Source organism: Homo sapiens, chromosome 21, assembly GCF_000001405.40.
Source record: "Homo sapiens chromosome 21, GRCh38.p14 Primary Assembly".
Taxonomy (NCBI): Eukaryota; Metazoa; Chordata; class Mammalia; order Primates; family Hominidae; genus Homo; species Homo sapiens.
In genome coordinates, this window is record NC_000021.9 from 36,387,418 (window position 1) to 36,400,041 (window position 12,624).

A 12,624-nucleotide genomic window follows, 5' to 3' on the forward strand; every position below is an offset into this window, starting at 1 on the left:
CACTGTGTTTCCAGGCTGGTCTTGAACTCCTGGCCTCAAGTGATTTACCCACCTTGGCCTCCTAAACTGCTGGGATTACAGTTGTGAGCCACCACACCCAGCCCATAGTATTGTTTTAATACAGACAGTATAATATGTGCCCATTCTATGTTTTTCAAATGAATGTGTTGGTATTGACAGATCTGGAAGGTAGAAAAGGGACCAGATGGAAAAGCCATCGTGGAATTTTTGTCCAATCTTGCTCGTCATACCAAAGCCGTCAATGTTGTGCGTTTTTCTCCAACTGGGGAAATTTTAGCATCGGGAGGAGATGGTGAGTATTGCTGTCCTTCAGAGATTCTTCGGGAACCAGATAGATACCTGTGTGTCTTGTGTCAGATAGTGAGATTTGAGCTGGATATGCTTTTTTTTTTTTTTTGAGATAGAGTTTCACTCTTGTTCCCCAGGCTGGAGTGCAGTGGTGCAAACTCGACTCACTGCAACCTCCGCCTCCTGGGTTCAAGCGATTCTCCTGCCTCAGCCTCCTGAGTAGCTGGGATTACAGGCGCCTGCCACCACGCCCGGCTAGTTTTTTTGTGTGTTTTTAGTAGAGACAGGGTTTCATCATGTTGGTCAGGCTGATCTCGAACTCCTGACCTCAGGTGATCCACCTGCCTCGGCCTCCCAAAGTGTTGGGATTACAGGCGTGAGCCACTGCGCCCGGCCTGGATATGCTTTTTAGTTCAGGTGTGGCTGACCCTCTCAATCTGTCATTTAGGTAGTTCAGTAAAATACTGTTCTAGGGAATGTGGTAGAGTCAGGGAGGGAGGACAGCAAGATGAAACCAGGAACACCTGTTTGAAAACAGCTGCTTTCCCGCAAGCTCCCACCAGGCTGTTCTAAGACGAGATGGAAAGGCACTTACCATTCTGTCACATCCCAAGCAAGGCGACTGTTCTGGTTTTGTTGGATTGTTAGTTTAACATCTGTGGTGATCAGAGTCAGTTCTGTGTCTCTGTGTAATTAATTAAATGGCTTTAGGACTGTGTTAGTAATTAATTGGCTTTGGGAGTTTTTTTTTTTTTTTTTTTTGAGACAGTCTCACTGTTATCTAGGCTGGAGTGCAGTGGCACAATCTTGGCTCACTGCAACCTCTGCCTCCCAGGTTCAAGCGATTCTCCTGCCTCAGCCTCACAAGTAGCTGGGATTACAGGCGCCTGCCACCACCCCCGGCTAATTTTTGTATTTTTAGTAGAGATGGGGTTTCGCCTTGTCAGCCAGGCTGGTCTCAAACTCCTGAGCTCAGGCAATCTGCCTGCCTCGGCCTCCCAAAGTGCTAGGATTACAGGCGTGAGCCACCGCGCCCGGGCTATTTGGGCATGAATTCTAAACTGGGATATGAAAGAATTCAGCAATGGCAAAGTTCCTCATGGAGGTGTGCCATGCTCAGAAGTGCAGTGTGCCCTCCCACTGGCCCCTCTTCAGTGGGCCCTGAGTAGCTGCTCGTGTTTGATCTCCCTGTAAGAAAGGCAGTAGCTGAAAAGCACCTAAGCTGCCAACACTGTGGAAACCCCCGCAATGCTCCCTTTCTTCACAGTGACATACTTGTTGTAATACCCATAGTAGCCTCTGAAACGCTCCAGCAGTGCCGGTCGGGGTAAGATCCCGCGTCGGTACCCAGCTTGGCAGCTCCTCTGGTTTGACATCTGTGTGTTTTCTCCCATTCCCTGCTGTGACTGATGCTGCTTTGGAGTCCTGGTGTCTGCAGTGCCGGGCTGCTGGAGGGTGCTGGGGAGGGAGCATACCGGGAGTGTCATTAATGAATGGCCTTGTGATTTGTGCTTGCTTGTTTGGTGGGAATAGATTGATTCTTGTTTTCTGCCTGTGCTTAAATGGGATAAAACTATATGGAAAAAGTAAACCAGGCTGGGCGCGGTCGCTCACACATGTTGTAATCCCAGCACTTTGGGAGACCGAGGCAGGTGGATCATTTGGGGTCAGGAGTTTGAGATCAGCCTGGCCAATATAGTGAGACCTCATCTCTACTAAAAATACAAAAATTAGCTGGGCATGGTGGTGCGCTCCTATAATCCTAGCTACTCAGGAGGCTGAGGTGGAGAATCGCTGTAACCTGGGAGGTGGAAGTTGCACTGAGCCAAGATTGGGCCATTGCACTCCAGCCTGGGCAACAGAGTGAGAGTCTGTCTCAAAAAAAAAAAAAAAAAGTAAACCTTTTTACCATACTTTAAAACAATCTAGAAACTATTACAAAATAAAACAGAAATCTAAAGTTTTTTTTTGCAGGAGGAGGAAAAGAGACCTGGTTGAGTTCAGTGCCATGATACCCAGAGTGCATGAAGGGATGTGTGTGTGTGTGTGTGTGTGTGTGTGTGTGTGTGTGTGTGCGCGCGCACGCTGATTTGTAGAGGGAAAAGTGGGGAGCAGGAGCGCCACCTGGGGGTGGCTACCTGCTGTCTGCCCTGAGGTTGCACATGGCAGCCCCCATTTTCCAAAGTCCCTTGGTCTTGGAGGCCCAGAAACCTGCTGTTGTCAGCACGTGGAGAGTGTTCATCCATCAGGGCCAATGGCATGTTAACCAAGCTCCCAGACTAATGTGTGCGAATAGGATTCCGGTTAACTTAGCATGGGAATGCAGGCTGGGTGCGGTGGCTCACGCCTGTAATCCCAGCACTTTGGGAGGCTGAGGTGGGCAGATCACCTGAGGTCAGGGGTTCGAGACCAGCCTGACCAACATGGAGAAACCTCGTCTCTACTAAAAATACAAAATTAGCTGGGTGTGGTGGTGCATACCTGTAGTCCCAGCTATTCGGGAGGCTGAGGCAGGAGAATCGCCTGAACCCGGGAGGCGAAGGTTGTGGTGAGCCAAGATTGCACCATTGCACTCCAGCCTGGGCAATAAGAGTGAAACACCATCTCAAAAAAAAAAAAAAAAAAGAAAGAAAAACAAAGAATGGGAATGCGTATGTCCTCACAACCTCATTCATTCACTGTCCTGCTGTGCACATTCCTAAAAGGGAAGCTAAGGGATGGTCAGAAGGTTACGTGGTAATCGTAGAGTCAGAATGTGGGGAGTTATTGGACTTAGACAATGGGTGACCTCAGGCTAAAGTACCTGATATCTATAATGGTATTAATAGCTGACACTTACATGGGGCTTACTATCTGCCAGCCATTGTGTTGTAAGTGTGTTATATACATTGGCCAATTTAATCCTCACAACAGCCTGTGAGGTAGATATATTGTTATCCTCATTTTTGAGACAGGGTCTTGCTCTGTCACTGAGGCTAGAGTGCAGTGGCAAGATCAGGACTCACTGCAGCCTCCACCTCCCGGGCTCAAGTGATCCTCCCACCTCAGCCTCCTGCGTAGTGGGACCAGAGGTGTGTGCCACCACACCTGGCTAATTTTTTTGATTTTTAGTAGAGACAAGGTCTTGCTCTCTTGCCCAGGCTGGTCTTGAGCTCCTGGGCTAAAACAACCCTTCCATCTCAGCCTCCCAAAGTGCTGGCATTACAGGCGTGAGCCACCCCACCCTGCCTATTATCCCCATTTACAGGTGAGGAAACTGAGACATCAAGATGCTAAGTGACTTGCTGAAGGTTTCTGAGCTAGGAACATTTGCCAACCCTTGCACTGAGGGTTCTTTGCTGTTTTGTTTTTCTATTCAGCTATTTATAGGTTATGCCTTCAGATTTATTAATGTAGCCAGTCATTTTGCAGTGGCATTTGCTGGCCTAGGGACCCTTCTGTTTAAGGTGATTTTGTATAGCTCTGATCTGTTATGAATTTGATTTTGGAGTTTTAGCTCAGAAGGCAATTTGCCTACTTTCCCTGTTGAAATGCTTGGAAGTAAATCATCCTGGCCATAGTGTCCACTGAACAACATAAATGTTGTTTTAATACCCTAAAAATCCTGACATGCAGCTAATTTTTTTGTATTTTTAGTAGAGACAGTTAGCCAGGATGGTCCTGGGAGGCAGAGGTTGCAGTGAGCCAAGATTGCGCCACTGCACTCCAGCCTGGGCGACAGGGTGAGACTCCGTCTCAAAAAAAAAAAAAAAAATGAAAATAAAAATCCTAATATGAAGGAGTGTGGGTGAAGCGTGGATCACTGTTACTGAATCACCCTGCAGATGCTGTCATCCTATTGTGGAAGGTGAATGATAACAAGGAGCCGGAGCAGATCGCTTTTCAGGATGAGGACGAGGCCCAGCTGAACAAGGAGAACTGGACGGTTGTGAAGACTCTGCGGTAACTTGGGAGGGACCATGGCAGTGATCTCTGTTTACGATGAGTGCATTAAATGGAATATACCTTTTGACTTTTTTTTTCTTTTCTTTTGAGATAGGGTCTCATTGTCGCCCAGGCTGGAGTGCTGTACTGTGATCACAGTACCCTGCAGCCTTGACTTCCCGGGCTCAAGTGATCCTCTCACCTCCCAAATAGCTGGGACTACAGGTGCATGCTACCATGCCCTGCTGATTTTTAAATTTTTTTTTTTTTTTTTTTTTTTTTTTTTTAGTATTTATTGATCATTCTTGGGTGTTTCTCGGAGAGGGGGATTTGGCAGGGTCATAGGACAATAGTGGAGGGAAGGTCAGCAGATAAACAAGTGAACAAGGGTCTCTGGTTTTCCTAGGCAGAGGACCCAGTGGCCTTCCGCAGTGTTTGTGTCCCTGGGTACTTGAGATTAGGGAGTGGTGATGACTCTGAAGGAGCATGCTGCCTTCAAGCATCTGTTTAACAAAGCACATCTTGTACCGTCCTTAATCCATTTAACCCTGAGTTGACACAGCACATGTTTCAGAGAGCAGGGGGTTGGGGGTAAGGTTATAGATTAGCAGCATCCCAAGGCAGAAGAATTTTTCTTAGTACAGAACAAAATGGAGTCTCCTATGTCTACCTCTTTCTACACAGACACAGCAACAATCTGATTTCTCTATCTTTTCCCCACATTTCCCCTTTTTCTATTCGACAAAACCGCCATCGTCATCATGGCCCGTTCTCAGTGAGCTGTTGGGTACACCTCCCAGACGGGGTGGCGGCCGGGTAGAGGGGCTCCTCACTTCCCAGACAGGGCGGCCGGGCAGAGGCGCCCCCCACCTCCCGGACGGGGCAGCTGGCCGGGCGGGGGCTGCCCCCCACCTCCTGGACGGGGCAGCTGCCGGGCAGAGATGCTCCTCTCTTCCCAGACGGGGCGGCTGCTGGGCGGAGGGGCTCCTCTCTTCCCAGACGGGGCGGCTGCCGGGCGGAGGGGCTCCTCACTTCTCAGACGGGGCGGCCGGGCAGAGACGCTCCTCACCTCCCAGACAGGGCGGCGGGGCAGAGGCGCTCCCCACATCTCAGACGATGGGCGGCCGGGCAGAGACGCTACTCACTTCCTAGACGGGGTGGCGGCCGGGCAGAGGCTGCAATCTCAGCACTTTGGGAGGCCAAGGCAGGCGGCTGGGAGGTGGAGGTTGTAGCGAGCGGAGACCACGCCAGTGCCCTCCAGCCTGGGCAACATTGAGCACTGAGTGAGTGAGACTCTGTCTGCAATCCCGGCACCTCGGGAGGCTGAGGCTGGCAGATCACTCGCGATTAGGAGCTGGAGACCAGCCCGGCCAACACAGCGAAACCCCATCTCCACCAAAAAAATACGAAAACCAGACAGGCGTGGCGGCGTGCGCCTGCAATCCCAGGCACTCGGCAGGCTGAGGCAGGAGAATCAGGCAGGGAGGTTGCAGTGAGCCGAGATGGCGGCAGTACCGTCCAGCCTCGGCTTGGCATCAGAGGGAGACTGTGGAGAGAGCGGGAGAGGGAGAGGGAGACGGTGGAGGGAGAGGGAGAGGGAGAGGATTTTTAAATTTCTGTGGAGACAGGGTCTCACTATGTTGCCCAGGCTGGTCTAATTTAGAAGTTTTATTTATATGAAACAGTCCTAAGACAATAGTTTTAAAGGATGAAAGCATAATTAAAATGGATTTTCTTAGTTTCGGCTATACATTTTTCTTAGTAAAAAGTATTCAATTTTAAAGATACAGCTATCCTTTTTTTTTTTTTTTTTTTTTTTAGATGGAGTTTTGCTCTTGTTGCCCAGGCTGGAGTGCAATGGCATGATCTCGGCTCACCGCAACCTCTGCCTCCTGGGTTCAAGCGATTCTCCTACCTCAGCCTCCCGAGTAGCTGGGATTACAGGCCTGCACCACTATGCCCAGCTAATTTTTTTGTATTTTTAGTAGAGACGGGGTTTCTCCATGTTGGTCAGGCTAGTCTCAAACTCCCAACCTCAGGTGATCCGCCCACCTCGGCCTCCCAAAGTGCTGGGATTACAGGCGTGAGCCACTGCGACCGGTCAGATATAGCTATCCTTGAAAGTAGTTTTTTATAGCTATAGCTAATATAGTGCCAGTGGAAATTTTGGAATCTCATTTTAATGCTTAGTTCTGGAGATTGTCCTTATATTTTTGATAACTTGTCCGTTTTTGAGTTAATAATTGCTTTTTGTTTTGTTTTGTTTAGAGTCAGAGTCTCACTCTGTTGCGCAGGCTGGAGTGCAGTGGCATGATCTTGGCTCACTGCAATCTCTGCCTGCTGGGTTCAGGGGATTCTCCTGCCTCAGCCCCCAAGTAGCAGGGACTACAGGTGTGCGCCACCACACCTGGCTATTTTTTTTTTGGCTAATTTTTTTTTTTTTTTGAGATGGAGTCTCACTCTGTCGCCAGGCTGGAGTGTAGTGGCGCGATCTTGGCTCACTGCAATCTCTGCCTCCCAGGTTCAAGTGATTCCCCTCCCTCACCCTCCTGAGTAGCTGGGTCTGCAGGTGTGCACCACCACGCCTGGCTAATTTTTTGTATTTTAGTAGAGACGTGGTTTCACCATGTTGGCCAGGATGGTCTCGATCTCCCGACCTTGTGATCTGCCTGCCTCGGCCTCCCAAAGTGCTGGGATTACAGGCGTGAGCCACAGCACCTGGCTGATTTTTGTATTTTGAGTAGAGATGGGATTTTACTGTGTTAGCCAGGCTGGCCTTGAACTCCTGACCACAGGCAGTCTGTCTACCTTGGCCTCCCAAAGTGCTGGGATTACAGGGGTAAGCTGCTATACCTGGGGAGTAATTGCTTTTTTCCTCTTTGTTTTTGGATTCTAGGGGCCACTTAGAAGATGTGTATGATATTTGCTGGGCAACTGATGGGAATTTAATGGCTTCTGCCTCTGTGGATAACACAGCCATCATATGGGATGTCAGCAAAGGTAAATGATATATTTTTGTTATTAGCAGGAAGAAATATTCTAAGCATCTATAAAAGCCTAAAAGTCTAACTTGCTTTAACTTTTTTTTTTTTTTTTTTTGAGACAGGATCTCACTCTGCCGCCCAGGCTGGAGTGCAGTGGTGCGATCTTGGTTCACTGCAACCTCTGCCTCCTAGATTCAAGCGATCCTCCTGCCTCAGTCTCCCAAGTAGCTGGGACTACAGGCATGCACCACCACACCCAGTTAATTTTTGTATTTTTAGTAGAGACGGGTTTCATCATGTTGGCCAGGCTGGTCTCAAACTCCTAACCTCAGGTGATCTGCCCGCCTCAGCCTCCCAAAGTGCTGGGATTACAGGCATGAACCACTGCCCCTGGCCCTAACTTACCTTAACTTTATTTTTTATTTTTATTTTTTTGGAGACGGAGTTTCGCTCTTGTCCAGGTTGGAGTGCAATGTCACAATCTTAGCTCACTGAAATCTCCACCTCCCGGGTTCAAGCGATTCTCCTGCCTCAGCATCCTGAGTAGCTGGACTACAGGTGTCTGCCACCACACCTGGCTAATTTTTGTATCATTAACAGAGACGGGGTTTCACCGTTGGCCAGTCTGGTCTCTATCTCTTGACCTCAGGTGATCCACCCGCCTCGGCCTCCCAAAGTGCTGGGATTACAGGCATGAGCCACCACACCCGGCCTACTTGCTTTAACTTTAAAAGCAACACAAAAAATTGTTTTAGTGAACTAAAGTAGGTGGTTGGCTCAACAGGATAGGGGTTAGTCCCATATGCTATGGATTGTCAGAGGGTAAGAGGCTTAGCACTGGTGCTGCAAGTTACTGATGCTGAAGCCAGGCAAATCCCACATGGTGGGGCCAGCAGATAAGATGACAGGCCCGGGCCCTGCCTTTATGGAGGTTAGGATCTCGGGAAGATTAACAAGTCACTTATAATTTATAGGGCATTGCATGCTAGTTGATGGGGTAGGTGGGATCAGGTTTCCATTTTAGAAGATCAAGGAAAGCCAGGGACATTCTGTTCTCTAGTTGGGGAGACAGTGGACATGTGAAAAGTTATAGTGGTGTGAAAATAGCTGTGAAATGCCAAAAGCAAGTATGGCTAACTCCTAATCATTTTTATCCCCTGCCATCCTTTACTCAAACTTTGTTTTCTCCCAAACCTCTTCCTGCCAATTCTACAACTCAAGTACCTGGGTAGGGCAGTTGTTGTTGGCTGCCACCGCAGCACTGTGTCAGCCCAGTTCTCATCCAGTCTATAAAAATTTTTGCTCTTTTTAGTACCATGCTGTCCAGCCAAGCCATCCTCCATCCTCCGTTCTGTCTTGTTTTGTGTGGTTTTTTTTTTTATTTTAGATGGAGTCTCCCTCAGTTCCCCAGGATGGAGTGCAGTGGTGCGATCTCAGCTCACTGCAACCTCTGCCTCCCGGGTTCAACAATTCTCCTGCCTCAGCCCTCAAGGTAGCTGGGATTACAGGCGCCCGCCACCACTCCCAGCTAATTTTTGTATTTTTAGAAGAGATGGGGTTTGCCCATGTTGGCCAGGCTGGTCCCAAACTCCTGACTTGAAGCGATCTGCCTGCGTCGGCCTCCCAAAGTGCTGGGATTACAGGCATGAGCCATTGCGACTGGCCAGGATTTTAGGTTTTATCATAAGTGTGATGGGTTGTTACTGAACCTCACCAAAAACCTCAAAAAAAAAAAAAAAAAAAAAAAAAGAATGACTTGTCAGGCACAGTGGCTCAGGCCTGTAATCCCAGCACTTTGGGAGGATTGCTCAAGCCTAGGAATTCAAGACCAGCATGGGCAACATGGCAAAACCCTCTCTCTACCAAAAAAATACAAAAATTAGCTGGGTGTGGTAGTACATGCCTATAGTCCCAGCTACTAGGGCTGCTAAGTCTCTTGAGCCTGGGAAGTTGAGGCTGCAGTGAGCTCTGACGGCGCCACTGCACTCCAGCCTGGGCAACAGAACCACACCCTGTCTCAAAAAAAAAAGAAAAAAAAAAAGGAATGGCCAAGGCTTCATAACTCTCTTGTCTTTTTATGCAGGCGATCTCTGTGTGCTAAATATTTTCCCCGAAGTCCCTTTTCCATCCCTGTTCGCATTGTCTGCTCTGGGCCCTCCTCATCTCTCTCCTGGTCTACTCGGTCACCTCCTAACTAGTGACCCTCTTTGTCATCTTCTAAACCTGTTTCACCTTTAAAATGCAGACAGCTTCTCAGCTTGAATTCACAGCCTTTTCCTTACACACAAGGTCTCTGTAATACTTCTCCTTTCCTCCTTATCTTCTGTTCTTGGCCCTCCTCTGTACCCATTAGCAGTTCTCAGCTACCTCTCCCTGCTCCATATTCACTTCGCTAAGCTGTTTTAACCCAGGGATTCCCTGACAATACCTTCTTCCACCCTTCATCCCCTCTTCATCCTGCCTGACCTGGGGAACTGAACTTAGATCTTCTCAGACCCTCCGCCCTGTGCTGTCAGCTCCCCTCCCCCGGTCCACATGTGTGATCCTTGCTTGTTGATGGGTCTGTCTGATCTGTGGGCTCCCTGAGGGTGGGGACTGCATGAAGTCATCTTTGTGACCCCAGAGCCTGACACAGGGTTTTAGTACAGAGTCTCTCACTTACTGCCTGCTGAGTGATGCGTGGTAAAGGGAATAATATTTAAGTCATAGTTTATACTATTTGGGCTCAAACAGGTTTTGGTAATGCTGTTTTGGTGCGTGTGTGTGTGTTTTTTTTGTAGGACAAAAGATATCAATTTTTAATGAACATAAAAGTTATGTCCAAGGAGTAACCTGGGACCCTTTGGGTCAATATGTTGCTACTCTGAGCTGTGACAGGTAAATTCAGCTTTGGCATTTACTTGGAATTTCTTTGTATTTACTTGGAATTTTCTGAAGAGAGGTATTTATCGTAACTTAGCCAAGATTTATCATAGTCTAACTTTGATTCTTTTGTTCTTGTTTTCATACTCATTCTTACAACATAATCAGAAATTGGAAATTAATTAGGACAAGTGCCTTACACGAAGTTTGTACTTAGTAAATCTTTTTTTTTTTTTTTTTTTTTAGACACAGTCTCACTCTGTCACCCAGGCAGGTGTTGTGGCGCAATCTCACAATCTCAGCTCACTGCAACCTCTGCCTCCTGGTTTCAAGCGATTCTCCTGTCTCAGCTTCCCTATTAGCTGGGATTACAGGCACATGCCACCATGCCCGGTTAATTTTTGTGTTTTTAGTAGAGACAGGGTTTCACCACGTTGGTCAAGCTGTTCTCAAACTCCTAACCTCAAATGATCTGCCTGCCTTGGCCAATGTGCTGGGATTACAGGCATGAGCCACCATGCCCCGCCCTGAACTTAGTAAATCTTTATTATTATTACTATTTTTTTTTTTTTTTGAGAGAGGGGCTTACTCTGTCACCCAGGCTGGAGTGCAGTGGTGCAATCACAGCTCACTGCAGCTTTGACCTCCTGGGCTCGAGCAATCCTCATGCTTCAGCCCCCCAAGTAATTGGGACTACGGGTGTGCACCACCACACCCGGCTAATTTTTATATTTTTTTGTAAAGATGGGATTTTGCCATGTTGCCCAGGCTGGTCGCGAACTGTTGAGCTCAAGCCATCTGTCTGCCTTGGCCACCCAAAGTGCTAAGATTACAGGTGTGCTACGGTGATTTTTATTTTTATTTTTTTTAAATTGTTTTTTGAGACAGAATCTCACTCTGTCACTCTGGCTGGAATGCAGTGGTGCGATCTCGGCATACTGTAACCTCCACCTCCTAGGTTCAAGCGATTCTCCTGCCTCATCCTCCTGAGTAGCTGGGATTGCAAGTGTGTACCACCATGCCTGGCTAATTTTTGTATTTTTAGTAGAGACAGAGTTTCACCGTATTGACGATGCTGGTCTCAAACTCCTGACCTCAGGTGACCTGCCTGCGTTGGCCTCCCAAAGTGCTGGGATTACAGGCGTGAGCCACCTCGCCCAGCCCAGTTATTTTAATGACTCCATTTAAATGGATATAAAAATAAACTATTTTTGTGCTTTCTGAAAAGAAGTCTTGTTGTCGTGTTTACTGGCATAATTGCATTTAATTGTATTGTTGGAACAAAGAGTTAGAAAAAATGAGGAGTGCCTCCTATATTACTTAATAGTCCTTTTGAATATTTATCTGACTACTTTTAAATAAAACAAATTGAATATAAGATGGCCTTGGAATAAAAGTGGTAGGGAGGAGTTAGTGTTTATTTTTCATAGAATCTTCTGTTGTATTCTAAATGCCATTTATTTTCTGACAAGTGTGTTTTATTCAGACAGTCATCAGTAAAACAATCTGATTAGCTAGTGGGAGTAATGTGACTTACCAATTTTTTTTTTTTTTTTTTGAGACAGAATCTCGCTCTGTTGCCCAGGCTGGAGTGCAGTGCCACAATCTCAGCACTGCAACCTCTGCCTCCCGGGTTCAAGTGATTCTTCTGCCTCAGCCTCCCGAGTAGCAGGGATTACAGGCGCCCACCACCACGCCCGGCTAATTTTTTGTATTTTTGGTAGAGATGGGGTTTCACCATGTTGGCCAGGCTGGTCTCGAACTCCTGACCTCAAGTGATTCACCCGCCTCTGCCTCCCAAAGTGTCGGGATTACAGGCGTGAGCTACCGCGCCCGGCCTGTAATATCCTTTAGGTTGTTAATACTTGCTTCCTTCTTAATTACCCAGTTGTGAATATCATTGGTAAAAGCTTTTGCAGGCTGAAAACTGTTGCGGTGGTAATAGGCTGTTGGTAATAAGTTGTTTCTGTGTGAAGCATAATTCATTTACTAGAAGTGGTAAATCAGACATGTTCTTTCTTCAGGGTGCTGCGAGTATACAGTATACAGAAGAAGCGTGTGGCTTTCAATGTTTCGAAGATGCTGTCTGGAATAGGGGCTGAAGGAGAGGTATAAAATATTTTGCCATTCTTTTTCAGCAGCGCTTTAACTGAGACTTAGGAAGTCATGAGCTCCTCCCATACCCTTGCAGCCAAATCACTGGCCACAAAGAGCCGATTCCAGAACTACAATAAGGCTTCCTTTTGGACAGTCAAGGCTCAGTTACTGTGGTGGGCTAGTCTGTATGGAAATGGGGACATCTGGAGACCAGGGTAGAGCCACTGATGGAGGACAGGACAGTGGTTTTCAACCCTGGTTGCACGGTGGAATCACCTGGGAAGAATTACAAATATGGGTGCTGGCCGGGCGCCGTGGCTCATGACTGGAATCCCAGCACTTTGGGAGACTGAGGTGGGCGGATCACTTGAGGTCAGGAGTTTGAGACCAGCCTGGCCAACATGGCCAAACCCCATCTCAATGAATTGCAAAAATTAGCCAGCTGTGG

At 47.7% G+C, this 12,624-nt stretch overlaps 1 protein-coding gene and 1 pseudogene across 2 annotated transcripts in view; one reads left to right on the forward strand and one right to left on the reverse strand.

Moving 5' to 3' along the window:
• The window catches only part of CHAF1B (chromatin assembly factor 1 subunit B), a 33,624-nt gene that overhangs the window by 2,026 nt on the left and 18,974 nt on the right, over positions 1-12,624 (forward strand). Inside the window, exons 3-7 of one of the 2 annotated variants that reach the window (NM_005441.3) lie at positions 181-313; positions 4,134-4,251; positions 7,130-7,233; positions 9,998-10,094; positions 12,104-12,188. In NM_005441.3, coding sequence (NP_005432.1) covers positions 181-313; positions 4,134-4,251; positions 7,130-7,233; positions 9,998-10,094; positions 12,104-12,188 — 537 coding nt within the window. Of the gene's footprint in view, positions 1-180; positions 314-4,133; positions 4,252-7,129; positions 7,234-9,997; positions 10,095-12,103; positions 12,189-12,624 lie in introns of those variants that run through there. The other variant, XM_047441000.1, reaches the window with a different exon arrangement.
• On the reverse strand, positions 1,461-1,695 carry ATP5MFP1 (ATP synthase membrane subunit f pseudogene 1; annotated as a pseudogene).